The following is a 16,613-nucleotide window of genomic DNA, read 5'->3' as shown; positions in this document are numbered from 1 at the left end:
TGACTTAAAGATGCATATTATAATATCTTTTATTATTATTATTATTATACTTTAAGTTTTAGGGTACATGTGCACAATGTGCAGGTTTGTTACATATGTATATATGTGCCATGTTGGTGTGCTGCACCCATTAACTCGTCATTTAGCATTAGGTATATCTCCTAATGCTATCCCTCCCCCCTCCCCCCACCCTGCAACAGTCCCCGGTGTGTGATGTTCCCCTTCCTGTGTCCATGTGTTCTCTTTGTTCAATTCCCACCTATGAGTGAGAACATGCAGTGTTTGGTTTTTTGTCCTTGCGATAGTTTGCTGAGAATGATGGTTTCCAGCTTCATCCATGTCCCTACAAAGGACATGAACTCATCATTTTTTACGGCTGCATAGTATTCCATGGTGTATATGTGCTACATTTTCTTAATCCAGTCTATCATTGTTGGGCATTTGGGTTGGTTCCAAGTCTTTGCTATTGGGAATAGTGCCACAATAAACATACGTGTGCATGTGTCTTTATAGCAGCATGATTTCTAATCCTTTGGGTATATACCCAGTAATGGGATGGCTGGGTCAAATGGTATTTCTAGTTCTAGATCCCTGAGGAATCGCCACACTGACTTCCACAATGGTTGAACTAGTTTACAGTCCTACCAACAGTGTAAAAGTGTTCCTATTGCTCCACATCCTCTCCAGCACCTGTTGTTTCCTGACTTTTTAATGATTGCCATTCTAACTGGTGTGAGATGGTATCTCATTGTGGTTTTGATTTGCATTTCTCTGATGGCCAGTGATGATGAGCATTTTTTCATGTGTTTTTTTGCTGCATAAATGTCTTCTTTTGAGAAGTGTCTGTTCATATCCTTCACCCACTTTTTGATGGGGTTGTTTGTTTTTTCCTTGTAAATTTGTTTGAGTTCATTGTAGATTCTGGATATTAGCCCTTTGTCAGATGAGTAGGTTGCAAAAATTTTCTCCCATTCTGTAGGTTGCCTGTTCACTCTGATGGTGGTTTCTTTTGCTGTGCAGAAGCTCTTTAGTTTAATTAGATCCCATTTGTCAATTTTGGCTTCTGTTGCCATTGCTTTGGTGTTTTAGACATGAAGTCCTTGCCCATGCCTATGTCCTGAATGGTATTGCCTAGGTTTTCTTCTAGGGTTTTTATGGTTTTAGGTCTAACATGTAAGTCTTTAATCCATCTTGAATTAATTTTTGTATAAGGTGTAAGGAAGGGATCTAGTTTCAGCTTTCTACATATGGCTAGCCAGTTTTCCCAGCACCATTTATTAAATAGGGAATCCTTTCCCCATTGCTTGTTTTTGTCAGGTTTGTCAAAGATCAGATAGTTGTAGATATGCAGCATTATTTCTGAGGGCTCTGTTCTGTTCCATTGGTCTATATCTCTGTTTTGGTACCAGTACCATGCTGTTTTGGTTACTGTAGCCTTGTAATATAGTTTGAAGTCAGGTAGCGTGATGCCTCCAGCTTTGTTCTTTTGGCTTAGGATTGACTTGGCAATGCGGGCTCTATTTTGGTTCCATATGGACTTTAGTTTTTTCCAATTCTGTGAAGAAAGTCATTGGTAGCTTGATGGGGATGGCATTGAATCTATAAATTACCTTGGGCAGTATGGCCATTTTCACGATATTGATTCTTCCTACTTATGAGCATGGAATGTTCTTCCATTTGTTTGTATCCTCTTTTATTTCATTGAGCAGTGGTTTGTAGTTCTCCTTGAAGAGGTCCTTCACATCCCTTGTAAGTTGGATTCCTAGGTATTTTGTTCTCTTTGAAGCAATTGTGAATGGGAGTTCACTCATGATTTGGCTCTCTGTTTGTCTGTTATTGGTGTATAAGAATGCTTGTAATTTTTGCACATTGATTTTGTATCCTGAGACTTTGCTGAAGTTGCTTATCAGCTGAAGGAGATTTTGGGCTGAGACGATGGGGTTTTCTAGATATACAATCATGTCATCTGCAAACAGGGGCAATTTGACTTCCTCTTTTCCTAATTGAATGCCCTTTATTTCCTTCTCCTGCCTGATTGCCCTGGCCAGAACTTCCAACACTATGTTGAATAGGAGTGGTGAGAGAGGGCATCCCTGTCTTGTGCCAGTTTTCAAAGGGAATGCTTCCAGTTTTTGTCCATTCAGTATGATATTGGCTGTGGGTTTGTCATAGATAGCTCTTATTATTTTGAGATACGTCCCATCAATACCTAATTTATTGAGAGTTTTTAGCATGAAGGTTGTTGAATTTTGTCAAAGGCCTTTTCTACATCTATTGAGAAAATCATGTGGTTTTTGTCTTTGGTTCTGTTTATATGCTGGATTATGTTTATTGATTTTCATATGTTGAACCAGCCTTGCATCCCAGGGAGGAAGCCCACTTGATCATGGTGGATAAGCTTTTTGATGTGTTGCTGGATTCGGTTTGCCAGTATTTTATTGAGGATTTTTGCATCAATGTTCATCAAGGATATTGGTCTACAATTCTCTTTTTTTGTTGTGTCTCTGCCAGGCTTTGGTATCAAGATGATGCTGGCCTCATAAAATGAGTTAGGGAGGATTCCCTCTTTTTCTGTTGATTGGAATAGTTTCAGAAGGAATGGTACCAGCTCCTTCTTGTACCTCTGATAGAATTCTGCTGTGGATCCATCTGGTCCTGGACTTTTTTTGGTTGGTAAGCTATTAATTATTGCCTCATTTTCAGAGCCTGTTATTGGTCTATTCAGAGATTCAACTTCTTCCTGGTTTAGTCTTGGGAGAGTGTATGTGTCGAGGAATTTATCCATTTCTTTTAGATTTTCTGGTTTATTTGCGTAGAGGTGTTTATAGTATTCTCTGATGGTAGTTTGTATTTCTGTGGGATCGGTGGTGATATCCCCTTTGTCATTTTTTATTGCGTCTATTTGATTCTTCTCTCTTTTCTTCTTTATTAGTCTTGCTAGCAGTCTATCAATTTTGTTGATCTTTTCGAAAAACCAGGTCCTGGATTCATTCATTTTTTGAAGGGTTTTTTGTGTCTCTATTTCCTTCAGTTCTGCTCTGATCTTAGTTATTTCTTGCCTTCTGCTAGCTTTTGAATGTGTTTGCTCTTGCTTCTCTAGTTCTTTTAATTGTGATGTTAGGGTGTCAGTTTTAGATCTTTCCTGCTTTCTCTTGTGGGCATTTAGTGCTATAAATTTCCCTCTACACACTGCTTTGAATGTGTCCCAGAGATTCTGGTATGTTGTGTCTTTGTTCTCATTGGTTTCAAAGAACATCTTTATTTCTGCCTTCATTTCGTTATGTACCCAGGAGTCATTCAGGAGCAGGTTGTTCAGTTTCCATGTAGTTGAGCGGTTTTGAGTGAGTTTCTTAATCCTGAGTTCTAGTTTGATTGCTCTGTGGTCTGAGAGACAGTTTGTTATAATTTCTGTTCTTTTACATTTGCTGAGGAGTAAGATGCATATTATAATTTCTAAGGCAACCTCTAAAACAATACCAAAAGAAGTCAAGCTAAAATATCAATGAAGGAGAAAAAATGGGATATTTAATAAAAATATGTGATTTGCCCAAAATAACCAAGAAAGGAGAAACAGAACAAAATACAGATGGGATAAATAAAAGTTAAATAACAAGATGGAGGCAAGACCCAATTATAATGCTGTTTATAAGACACTGATCAATATACATGTGTAGACAGGTTGAAAATAAAAGGATAAGGAAAAACATGCCATGCAAACACTAGGCATAAGAAAGCCAATTACTAGATTAGTATCAGTGTAAACTGCAAAAGAAAAAATGTTGCTGGATAAAAAGGGACATTTCATAATGATAAAAGGGCCAATTCATCAAGAAGATATAGTAATCCTAAATTTTAATACACCTATTAAAACAACTTTAAAATACCTAAAGCAAAAATTGACAGAACTAAAGAGTGAAATCGAATTTACATTTCATTCAATCATTCATTCCCTGAAAAAGTCTCATTGCTTTTCTCAGAAGGGGAATTTCTATTTAAATAAAGTTTAATAAGTGTGCAATTAAGATGCCATATTGTATTATTTTGATTATTGCTCTTTTAGGATACAATTTATGTTGCTGATTTCAGGCTGTCTGCATTGTTAAACATTGATTACCATACATTATTTTTTCCTAGACCCTGTGTGGTGCTTCCTTAAGAAAGTTATGCCATAACAATTAATTATAGCAAAGGACTCCTCCCATGATTAACCCTGCTTCAGAGGTTCCTTTTGTTTTTTGTTTTTCATATTCAATCATTTCCTCCTAAATGATATTGCTTAATCTTTCAGATTCTTCTACTAAAAAATTTACCAGATCCCTGGCACATCTAATTCCTTCCAAAATTTCTATAATCATTGATGATTTTTTAATGATTTAGTGTTTCTCAAGCCCTCAAAGCCTCCTAGCGCTACAAACCCTCCAAAGCAGCAGCTCTGCTTAGCGGGCAGAGCAGACGCCCACTCCTGTGAATGAGCAGAACCACCACTCTCGGTGGAAAAGCGTGGTTAACTGTTTCCTCATTGCCCACGAGGAAAGTGTCTTTGCATGCCTGAGGACCATAGCGATTTTGTCATTTCCCATCAAGGTTTTGAGGATTAGTGTGCCATACTGAGGGGGCACCCATGGGGGAAGGGGTGATTGTCAGCCACAAACTTCTGGCACTGTCTGGGGTGTCTCTGGTTAGCTGCAGCCAAGTTCCAGAGCTTGAGCAACACGCAAAGAATCACACAGCATGCTTTACAGGGAGAAAGCCAGGAGAAAATAACTGTGACAAAATTACCCTAAAAGTATTCTTCAATTTTAATGGGCGTCAATACATGTGATGCAATGCGTGTTTAATTTGGACCTGTAATCGAGAGTTAGAAGAAAAATTCACCGAATTTACACTTTTGTTCTGATCACCTTGTGGATATCCTCCTTTCTGTACCCAGGAGCATTCTCTCCCTCTTTTTATTCTGCATTCTATCCCTTTAACAATAAAAATAGCTAATATTTATCAAGTTCTTACTATATGTCTAGGTTTGTCTAAGCACATCTGATTGAGTACCAGCCAACACTTAGGATGCTGCTATTGTCCCTATCTTATGGATTAGGAAACTGAGGCCTGGGGCCTTTAAGAAATGTGCCTGAGGGGGCACAGTTGTCCAGCAAGAGCAAGCGGCTGCCTTCCTTACCCATACAGTCTGATTCTGGAGCTTTGATCTGAGCCCTTGGGTCTTGGCAAGTCAATGCCTCGCACCTTCTCTTAGCCTCCTGTGTTTAGAATCATCACAGTTGAGCCCTGGCCGGAAAGAGAAGGGACCCTCAGCTGGGATTGCTTGGAGTCAGGAAGGCTTCTTTGAAGAAGTCAAGAGAGACTGAGTGTTTAGGAGTCAGGAGAAATCCAACAGAGGAAGGGAAGGGGTGCTCACCAGGCAAAAGGAGCAAAGGTGCAAAGCGCTCGGATGAAGAGCATCGCAAAGGTGTCATGGGATCAGGTGACACTCAGAGGAGAAGCAATGGCCCAGTGCCTGGCTTATGGCAAGACCTCAGAAGTGGTTGATGTGTCCATCATTGGCAATATGTGGCTGTTATGGTCATTGTAGCTCCTCTCTGTCCTGACCTCAGGCAAGCATTCCAGGCCCCAGCGGCAGTTTTCCCTGGCTGTCCCACAAGCATTTCAAACTCAGTGGGTCTGGAGGGAGCTCAGTGCCATGGCCAGTACCTGCAGGCAGCAGTCCTGCCTCCCCTCTTCCTCTCTCCTACCTCACATCCCAGCCAGGCCAGTGGTCCCCCTGGCCTTAGGCCTTTTCTCTCTTCGCGTTTCCACAACCTCAGATCAGGCCTTCGTTATCTCCCACATCTACTGGTGTAATAACTTCCTGGCTGGTCCCCCACTCCCCAACCCCAATCCATGCCCTAATGCTACCCCCGTTATCTCTCTAAGATTCAGTCAGCTCATGCAACCCCTCCAAGCCTTCAATGGCTGACAATATTTACCCGCCGCAAGCTAACAAACAACAGCAAGATCACACATGAAACACCAAAGCACCCCTGTGAGACTCAGATGAGAAAAGATACTATTGCTGCTAGTATGTATGGTTACTCTAGTTGATGAAATAATGAGACAAGCTTAAAAACTGGAAAGAAGGAAGTGAACCCATCATTTGGTGAAGATGGTATGATTACCTGCCTACGAAACCAAGTGAATCAACTAAAAGGAAACTATTAAAAACTATTAAAACTAGGACCTGGAAGAAGACTAGGCACAAATTAATATACAGAAATTACCTCCCTAAATATAAACAACCAGTTAGAAAATGTATTGGAAGAAAAGGTGCAATGAAAAAGAAAATATATATAATAATATAATGGACAATGTGCAAGATCTGAGAAATGTGAAAAATAGAATAGCACAGAAAAGACAGGTTGGAAACTTCAATTTTATGAAGATGTTACTTCTCCTTACATTAATATGTAAATACAGAAATGTCCTAACAAATATGCCAAAAAATACCAGTAAGGTTTTTTTAGTAACTAGACAAACTAATCTGCAGTTTATGATGCAAAAATAATGCATAATAATCCTAAAAACTTTTTAAGAGGAGCACTAAAAAAGACCAAGTCCTGCCAGATACTAAAATATATTAATGTTAAAGTCACAGTTGCTAAAACACAGTGGTATGAATAAAAACCAGAATAGATCAATGGAAAAAAAATGAAGTCCATAAAAAGACCTACTGGGATATGTATAAGCATTTAGTATATGATAAAAGATAAATGCAATTTAACTGAAAAACTCTCTCAAAGGATCTGTTAAATAATCATCTGTAAGAGCCCTGGGCTTTCTGTTTACTGATCCTGTGTGTGCTGAAAGAGGGGACGGCCAGTGACACTCTTCTTATTCAACAGCTAAGTTTTATAAGTATTTATATGGGTTAGGCATTCACACATGCCAATTTTAGCATTATTCCCTGGGCAAAAAAAATATCAAGTAAGACAGTCTATCAAAATTATAAGACTTCTTCGAGATGATTGTCACAGGACATGGCAATACATTCTAAAGTCTAGGAGTCTTGCAAGACCTCCAAAGGCAATTTTATGGTAACAGAAGAGAGAAGAGTGTCGTAGTTAAGATATTCATGCCAGTTTTTGCAGTTCCCAGGAAACCAGGATGGCTATTCACGTGAAAATTCCCCATTTAACACTTTTCAGATTGGATCTGTGAATGATGTTTCTTTCTCCACAGCTGCAGGACAGAGAGAACATCTTCATTTCTTTCTTAGATTCATTTTTTTTTCATTATGAAGACTTGCATTTTAAAGACAGACTCTGGAATTTCATTAGCTAGCATTATAAATGTAGTAGGCCCATAGAGATCATTTTTGCTAGAAAAAAAAAGAGTACCGGAGTAAACTCTTCCTGAGTTTGCTCAATAAGAGTGAAGTGAGCAGCACAGAACAGGTTTTCTTCTTCCAGGGCATCTTAAGAAGGCCACAGACTAGGGAGTGACTGTCAAGTTCAGCAATATGGAGGGTGTTGGAGAGCTTGCCAAGACCATCAGTTTCTGTAGAGAGAATCCCATGGTCCATTTTATCATCACCATCATCATCATCATCATCATCATCATCATCATCATCATCATCACTATTTGTCTGGGAGAGTGGGCTCCTGGACAGACTTGTGTGGAATGTTTGGGGTAGGGAGTCATGGGTGGTGAGTCAGAGAGGATGCTTGACCATTCTGTGTACATGTGTTGGATTCATGTCCCCTCCCTACTTTCAGCTCCCCCTCTCTGCCTTGTGTTATACCAGTTATTCCCTATTTCTGAGCTCACATTCTTGGGTCTTCTGCGTCATAGCTCCTCTCACCACCAGCTCTTCCTGAACTTTCATAAATATATGGAGCTCTCTTGCCTGATGATAATCCCTCTCCTGATCTCTTTTTTCTTATAGATTTATTCCTCTTAATTCCTTTGCTTTATTTTAGTGGGTTCTTGGTAGGGAGCAGAGAGAAACAGATGTGCCACCTTTAACTGGATGCCTGTTGGATGGTTTTCAGCAAGGAAGTTTTCAAATTGCATGGTGCTGAGCAGAGAATGGGTTGTAGGGGAAAAAAAGGCAGAGGAGACTATTGCTGCCATCCAGATGATGGCCAGGGAAAAATCGGTAGAGATGATAAAAAGGTCCAGACTCCAGCGATATTAGGAGGTGGAAGTGATGAGGTTTGGAGATGGACTAGACGTGGGAGTCCCAGTGGGGCAATTGGGGGCCAGCAGCAGGGTGGGTGGTGTGCTTTCACGAGACGTGAGGGGAGGTCAGAACAAGAGTTCAGTCGCAAATTTGTTGAGCCTGGGACATCTCTGCTGCACCCATGTGGAGAGGCCAAATAGGTTGTTGAGACTGGGGCTCAGTTGGGATGGTGGGGGGCAGATCTCAACAAAGGGTAGCTGCTGTCGTGATTGCTCTTGGGCTGCATGTGACTGTGTGCATGTGTGTGCCCCCACCTGTGCACGCTTCTGAAGGGAGCCAGTCTGATTCCCTGCCACCCTGATAGGTGTGCAGCACTTGGAGGGTGAGTGACAGCAACAGCACACCTTTGCAGAAACTCACACTGAGAAGTGGACAGCTCTGATCCATGACCTGAGGCCACAGTCTATTCATGGGGCTCTTCCTCTTTCAGCCATAGATACAGCTGTCATGTTTCACGTGGTCTGACTGGGACAGCTTTTACTATAAGAGGGAGATGCCACTTGCAAGTGAGGCTCTCTGCTGGGTGCAGAGACAGCATAGGCCCATGTTGCTCAGTCAAATATCCCTCCAGAGAGTTTTATTTATTTGTTAAGGGCTTCAGGGTTGTGTTTACTGGGGGAGGTTTGGGTAAAAAGCTCAAAGACTGATCTTCCTTCCTGCTTTTCTACAAAATAAAAGTAACCAACCCTCATCCATTGCCATTGGTAAATGGTGCAGCCACTGTGAAAAACAGTCTGGTAGTTCTTCAAAAAGTTAAATACAGAGTTACCATATGACCCAGCAATTCCACTCCTAGTACATACCCAAGAGAAATGGAAACATATGTCCACACAAAAACTCGTACATGATATTCATAGTGGTATTAGTCATAATAGCAAAAAGGTGGAAACACCTAACTGTCTGTCAGCAGAACAAGTAAGCAAGATATGGTCTATCCATACAGTGGATTGTTATTCTGCCATAGACATTTAATCCATTTACCTTTAAGGTTAATGTTGATATGTGAGGTTTTGTTCCTGTCATATTGCTAATTGTTTTCTAGTTGTTTTATAAATTATTTGTTTCTTTCATTTTCTCTGTTTGTCATTGTGGTTTGGTGAAATTCTGTAGTGGTGCTATTTGATTACTTTCACTTCCTCCTTTGTGTGATTGCTTTACCAGTGAGTTTTATACTTTTGTATGTTTCCATGATGGTGAATGTCATCCTTTTGCTTCCAAGTTTAGGACTCCCTTGAGCATTTCTTGAAGGGCCGGTCTAGTGGTGACAAATACAGTCATCATTTACTTGTCTGGGAAAGACTTTATTTCTCCTTCATTTATGAAGGTTATATTACTGGATATAGAATTATTGACTGGCAGCGTTTTTGTTTGTTTGCTTTTTCTTTCAGCACTTTGAATATGTCATCCCATTCTCTTCTGGCTTGTAAGGTTTCTGCTGAAAAGTCTACTGTTAGTCCAATGGGGTTTCCTTTATAGATGACTAGATGCTTCTCTCTTGCGGACTTTAGAATTTGCTTTTTAACTTTCACTTTAGACGGTCTGATTATAATGTGCTGTGGCAAAGTCCTTTTCACATTGTATTTTCCCGGGGATTGCTGAGCCTCCTGTATTTGGATGTCAAAATCTCTTGCTAGACAGGAATTTTTCATATACTATTTTATTAAATAGGTTTTCTGAGCCTTTAGATCTCTCTTCAACCTCAGGAATACCAATAATTTATAAAGTTGGCTGTTTTATGTAGTCCCAAACATCTCAAAGGCTTTGTTCATTCTTTTTATTCTTTTTTCTTTAATTTTTCTTAGTGGATTCCAAAAGACCTGCCTTCAAGTTCTGAAATTTTTTCTTCTGCTTGGCCCAGTCTGTTGTTGAAGCTTTCAAATGTATCTTACATTCCTTTCAATGAATTTTTTAGTTCCAGAAAGTCGGTTTAGTTGGTTTTTTTGGTTTTGTTTCTAGAGATATCTATTTCTTTGGTAAGTTTCTCATTTGTGAATTAATTTTAATTCATCCTGAATTAATTTTCTGAGTTCTTTGTATTGATTTTCCAGATTTCTCTTGCATCTCATTGAGCTTCTTTAAAAATCAGCATTTTGAATTATTTATCTGGGATTTTGAGGATTTCTTTTTTGGTTAAGATCTATTGCTGGAGAATTATTGTGTTCCTTTGAGGGTGTCATACTACCTTGCTTTTTCATGTTTCCTGTGTCCTTACATTGATTTCTGCACATCTGGTGTAACAGTTGCTGCTTCTTATTTTTTAATTTACTTTCATTTGAGTGTGGGGGTTCCTGAAGATGTGACTCTCTGTTGGTTGGGTAGGACCCTTTGGCTTTGTTTCTGAGTGCGTGTAGTAGTGAAGACTCTGTATGATTTCTTTGGCTGTGAATAGCATTAGTGGTATCTGTGGTTTCTTTGGGATGTTAGGGTGTAGGTATTGGTGGAGGCTGTGGTAAAGTTGTGTGGGGACTAAAATGCCAGATGGGCCTCTCTTCAGGTTTCAGCCACTCTCTCTTAGTGGGCTAAGCATGTCTGTCCTTGTGCCCTGGGACAACATATGCTGGCACCTGTATTGGCGGTTCCAGGCAGACCAGTTCTTGGGCCTCTGGTTGGCTTTCTCAGATGCCATTTGTACTAGTGATGTCCTGGTTGGGTGAGTGGGCTCTCGAGCTCCTGGGCAGCCAGGATGGTTTGAGTGATGGTAGTAGCAGTGGTTGTGAGATGCTCTGTTGGGTCCCAAGTGCTGTGCATTTGTGTTGGCAGTGGTTGCAATGGGCTTTGCAGGCCAGCCCCCAGGCCAGCAGGCAGCACTTGCAGGTAGGAGCCAGCTGAGGTGGTAATGGTAGGGTGTTTATGCCTGACCTCTGCCCCCCTGGAAAAGTGCTTGAGTGTCCCAGGTGGTAAATTGGGTTGTGGAACCCCCAGGACCGTGGATCCTGCACTCTGTTGGGGATGAAGGCAGGCACAGCCAGACCAGGTGAACTTGTGCTGGACCCCCAGTGTTAAGTGCCCCCCAGTGGAAAGTGCATGCACCTGCCTTGGTGAAGGGCTAGGGAGGGCATGGCAATCCCCAGGCCCCTGGTGAAATGTTTGAGTGAAGGGCAACAGCCACTATGCTGAGGTCCTGCTGTGGGAGTTAGGGCCTGTTCCAGTGATCACAGCCTTGGCTGGAGAGTGGGGAACTTGTGTCCCTCTCACACCCCAGTCCAATCCAGGCATCCTCCCCCATCCCAGCTGTCACAGCTGACTCACTGTTCAGTCAGACCTGGCAGCTCACATCTAACCCACAATTCAGCCCTGGGGCATAAGAGCCCCTACCCAGCTCAAGACCAAGCCTCCACAGCTACTCTCGTCCTGCTCAGTTCCCAGGGGAAGTGCCTACTTTCAACGATGGTGGCTGCAGCCCATGCCATGCTTGCTTCCCAGTTCTAGTTGTGGGAGCTCACACTCTGCTCACACCCTTGTTCCACAAGCAGCAGCCCAAGTTTTCCTAATGCCTAGGCCTAACGCCATTGTTTCATGGCACCACACAGTCTGTTAAAAGCTAGGACCAAGAATGACATCTTACTCTAGCTGCTTAGGTCTTAGGAAGGACGTGGGACCCAGGGCATGTTCCCTCCCTGGAGCAGGACTGGGGAGGGTTAAGGTGCTCTCCTATGGCCTGGATTGTACAATCCCCCAGTGGGAAAGTGGACCACAGAAAGATTATCACCCCCTCCGGTACTGGGGAGTCACTCTGGTTCCCAGCCCGTCCGGGCCATGCAGGCTGCCTGTTTTCCTTCTTCCTAGATTGTGGAGTTTTCTTTTGCTTTTCTGTTGAACTGCTGTGTTCTGTCTTGGATAATGTATTCAAAGTGTGATTGTCTACATAGCATTTTGGTTCTTTTAAGTGGATGAGGCATGCTTGAAATGCATCTAATCAGCTGCCTTGAAAAAAAAGACATTTCTTAGTATGGTTTGTATTGTTTGTGTTTCTTTTCAACACACTCCTATTTATGAGACTCATGTATTCTTTGTTTTCTTTAGCCTTATTTCAGTTTTGATTTTTTTTTTTCATGTTTAGGCATGTACTCAATCTGGACCCCATTTTTGTGATTTGTGTGGCAACAAAGATCTAATTTGATTTTTTCCACCATGGTGAGCCAGTTGTCCCAGGTCAATGCATGGGGCCACGTCCAGTGTTTCACCTCTGCAACACACCAAGGCCCATGAGCCCCAGCACTGCCACTGGGCTCTCTGTTCTACTCTGTATATGTATTTCAACATCATCCTTTCATGATTGTTTTTACATTAATGAGCTTCTAATTTATTTTTGTGTATGATAGGAAGTAGGCATTTAACTTCATAGTTTCCCAAATAATTAGTCAATTCCAACCCAGTATAGATTTAAAATGCCAAATCATGTTTTAAAATATACTACAGCCTGTTTGGGGCTTTTTCTTTGCTTCCCCTGATTTATCTATTTTTACTCCTGCATCAGTATTGAGTTTTGTGTACCTTTCCCTGTTCTTCCTCATTACTCGCCCTTTTTAACTTTGGCCTGACTGTTCTCATTTGGTTTGTTTTTCAGATGAAATTTAGAATTGCTTTCTTAAGTATTCACCCCCCAGTCCTCCCGATACCTTAATTGAAAGTGTGCTAAGGTAAAACTGGATATGGCAAAGTTGATGTCTTTTCACTGTTGTATTCTCCTGTCCAGGAGCACAGCACATCTTCCACTGTGTCTTTTAATGCCCCCTTCCTTAATGAAAGTCTGGTGCATTTCTTCTTAAACTTATTGTCAGGTATGTTGAGGTTTCTATTGCTATTGTGAGTGTGGTCCTTTTCTTTTATTGTAGTTTCTGTTTATTACTAGTAGGAAAGCTATTGACTCTCCTGTATTTACCGTGGAATTTTTTATGGCTAATTTTTTCTTTATAATTTTCATTGGTTACAAAAAATTTAAATACCAGTTATCAAAATAACAAAAACCAGATTTCCATAAGCCCACTAGACTTACTTGTGGGCTTTCCCCCACTATTTATCTGCAATTTTATGACTTAAAATCAAGTCATACCATATAAACGATTTGAACCCTAGCATAATTTTTGGATCTCTCTCTCTCTTTTTTCTTTTTCTTTTTTTTTCTTTTTTGAGACAGGGTCTCACTCTGTCACCCAGGCTGGAGTGCAGTGGCACAATCTCAGCTCACTGCAGCCTCAGCCTCCCGGGCTCCAGTGATCCTCCTGCCTCAGCCCACCACATAGCTGGGACTGCAGGTGTACATTACCACACCTGGCTAATTTTTTTGTATTTTTAGTAGAGACAAGGTTTCATCATGTTGCCCAGGCTGGTCTTGAACTGGATCACTTTTTTAAATAAACTTTTTATTTTAGAACAGTTTTAAATTGACATAAAAATGGCAAGGATAGTACAAAGAGTTCTCATATATCCCACCCCTGCTTCCCTGTTATGAATGTTTTCCATTAATATGGTACATTTGTCACAATGAATGAACCCAATACTGGTATGTTATTATAAACTAAAGTCCACACATGACTTGGATTTCCTCAGTCTTTCCCTGCTGTCCCCTTTCTGCTCCAGGACCCCCTCCATGACACCACACTGCTTTTAGTCACAGTCTCTGTAGGCTCCTTTTGATGGCGACACTTTCTTGGACTTGCCCTGTTTTCAATGACCCTGACAGTTTTGAGGAGGACTGGTCAGGTATTTTGTAGAATGTCCCTCAATTGGTGTTTGTCCGATGTTTTTCTCATGACTAGACTGGGATTTGGGGTTTGAGGGAGGAAGAGCACAGAGGTGCAGGGCCGTTCCCTTCACACTGAATCAGGGACTTGCACTGTCAACAGGACTTACCCCTGCTGATGCTGACCTGGGTCACCTGGGTGACAGCGTATTTGTCAGGTTTCTCTACTATAAAGATACTCTCTTCTACTCCGATTCCACATGGTACCCTTTGAGAGCAAGTCACTAAGCATAGCCTCTAATTAAGGAGTTGGGGGTTACCCTTTGTCTTCTTAAGAACAGGGTATCTATATACATTATTTGGATTTCTTCTGTGTGGGAGATCTGTGTTCTCCCCCATTTATTTATTTAATCCTTTGAATCCAAATTCGTATGGATTCATGAATATTTATTTTTTACTTTGGGATAGCTATAATACAATTTATTTTTTGTTTTCTCGCTTAAATTGTTCCAGCTTTGGCCATTGGGACCTCTTTCAGTTGGCTCCTGTGTCCCTTGACTTAACCTCTTCAGTGTGTGTGTGTGTGTGTGTGTGTGTGCGCACGCACGTGCATGTGCACACACATTTATCACTTCCTTGCTTTCTGGCACTAAAAGATATTCCAGGTTCATCTTGTATGTTTCCTGCCCCAGTCCTGGAATCAGCCATTTCTCCAAGGAGCCCCATTTTTTACTGGAGAATGGCTATTAAAGGCCAAGTTCTGGTGCTAGGTGCTCTTTGCTACTGAGCAGGTTGCTTCTAGGCCCTCTCAGCTGACAGAACAAGAAGTTGTGCATGCATGCCAACCTGTGTGTATACACACATCTTTAGATATTTCTCTATGTAACCATGTGCATCAACATGGAGCTTATCATGAGTTCATACTGATGTCTCCAGTGCTAACCCATTACCCATGGATCATTCTAGCTCCTTCTCTTGCTTATGTACCTGGCATCAATCTAAACTTACCAAGACCTCTATGATACATTTTCATTTGGTTAAGTTTAAAAATATTTTATAAAATAGTCTACAAAAATGTCATGTAGTTGTTTATTCACTTAGACAGGGTCTTACTCTGTCGCCCAGGCTGGAGTGCAGTGGCACACTCATGGCTCACTGCAGCCTCAACCTCCCAGGCTCAAGCAGTCCTCCCACCTCAGCCTCCCAAGTAGCTGGGACCACAGGGGCATATCATCATGCCCAGCTAATTTTTTATTTTTCATTTTTGTAGAGACAGGGTCTTGCTATGTTGCCCAGGCTGGTTTCGAACTCCTGGCCTCAAATGATCCCTCCACCTAGGCCCCCCAAAGTTCTGAGATTACAGGCATGAGCCACTGCACCCAGCCCATTTTGGCTTTTTGCTTCTTATCTAAATATAGCTGTTAACAATGCCAAGTTTAAGGGTGGCTAAACAAGGTGGCAAAATAGCTTAACACAGCAGGAAAAGGGGGAAAACTGGAAATGCATTGGTACTTAGAAATTAGGTGGCAAAAAATCAGTGAAGTCTGGGATGTCAGCAAGAATGGTGGGGTACACAGCCCCATGGGCCTGTCCCCCAAAGAAACATTGAAAAATCTAACAAAACTGTCTCAACCAACTTCATCAAAACTTTGAAAAATAGGCAAAGGTTTACAGCAACCAAGCAAATGCTGAATCAAGAAAAAGGCAGGTGGGGTATGGTGACTCACACTTGTAATCCCAGCTTTTCAACTTTCAGAGGCTGAAGCAGAAGGATCCCTTGAGACCAGGAGTTCAAGACCAGTCTGGGGAACAAGCAAGACCCTACCTCTAAAAAAAGAAAAATAAGAAAAAACTTAAAAATGGTAGGAGAGCCTGGTGCGGTGGCTCACGCCTGTAATCCCAGCACTTTGGGAGGCCAAGGCGGGCTGATCACGAGGTCAGGAGTTTGAGACCAGCCTGGCCAACATGATAAAACCTGTCTCTACTAAAAATACAAAAATTAGCTGGGCATGGTGGCAGGTGCCTGTAATCCCAGCTACACAGGAGGCTGAGACAGGAGAATCACTTGACCCCAAAAGGCAGAGGTTGCAGTGAGTCGAGATCGCACCACTGCCCTCCAGCCTGGGTGACAGAGTAAGACTCTGTCTCAAAAAAAAAAAAATGGTAGGAGAGCCTGGTGATGACTCTGTCTGCCCTCCTCCCACCCCCCAATCTTGAAGGCAGCAGCATGTTCCTAGCATGGGACCTGGTCCCTGCTTCTGGAGGCAGAGCACACCTTACTCGAAAAGAAGTGGGTATTTATTCTCACCAGTCTGGTGGCTGCCTGAAGGGCTGCCACAGGCACTTGTCATTGTTTCACCTAACTCAGAACCCACTTGCTGCAGAAGAGTGGCAGACGTTGCTTGGAAACATTGTAAGGCAAATAACTTGCAGCTTCCTGGAGCTAAAAATTATAGTTGAGGCAAACAATGAAGCACTGAAAGCTCTGGAAGAAAAACTGAGGAGAGAGATGCTTTTGGAAATTAGGGCATTCAAAAGTACCTGTGGATATCGGGAAATGTAGAAAGCACCATACATGCGCAGAGAGCTTGCATGCTCAGAAAAGATCTAAGAAGACCTGAGCTTTCACCTGGGGCTGGTCTCTATGCTCAGTGCAAGTAGGAAGTGAAGGCTAAGGTAGAGCTGTGAAAAGCCTGGCTA

General features: G+C 41.8%; 1 protein-coding gene across 1 annotated transcript in view; it reads left to right on the top strand.

Moving 5' to 3' along the window:
- The window catches only part of POLN (DNA polymerase nu), a 170,204-nt gene that overhangs the window by 128,692 nt on the left and 24,899 nt on the right, over positions 1–16,613 (top strand). The window lies entirely within an intron of this gene.

This window comes from Homo sapiens, chromosome 4 (assembly GCF_000001405.40).
Source record: "Homo sapiens chromosome 4, GRCh38.p14 Primary Assembly".
NCBI classification, from domain to species: domain Eukaryota; kingdom Metazoa; phylum Chordata; class Mammalia; order Primates; family Hominidae; genus Homo; species Homo sapiens.
Note: the sequence above shows the minus strand (reverse complement) of the source record. Positions and strands in the feature narration are given on the sequence as shown.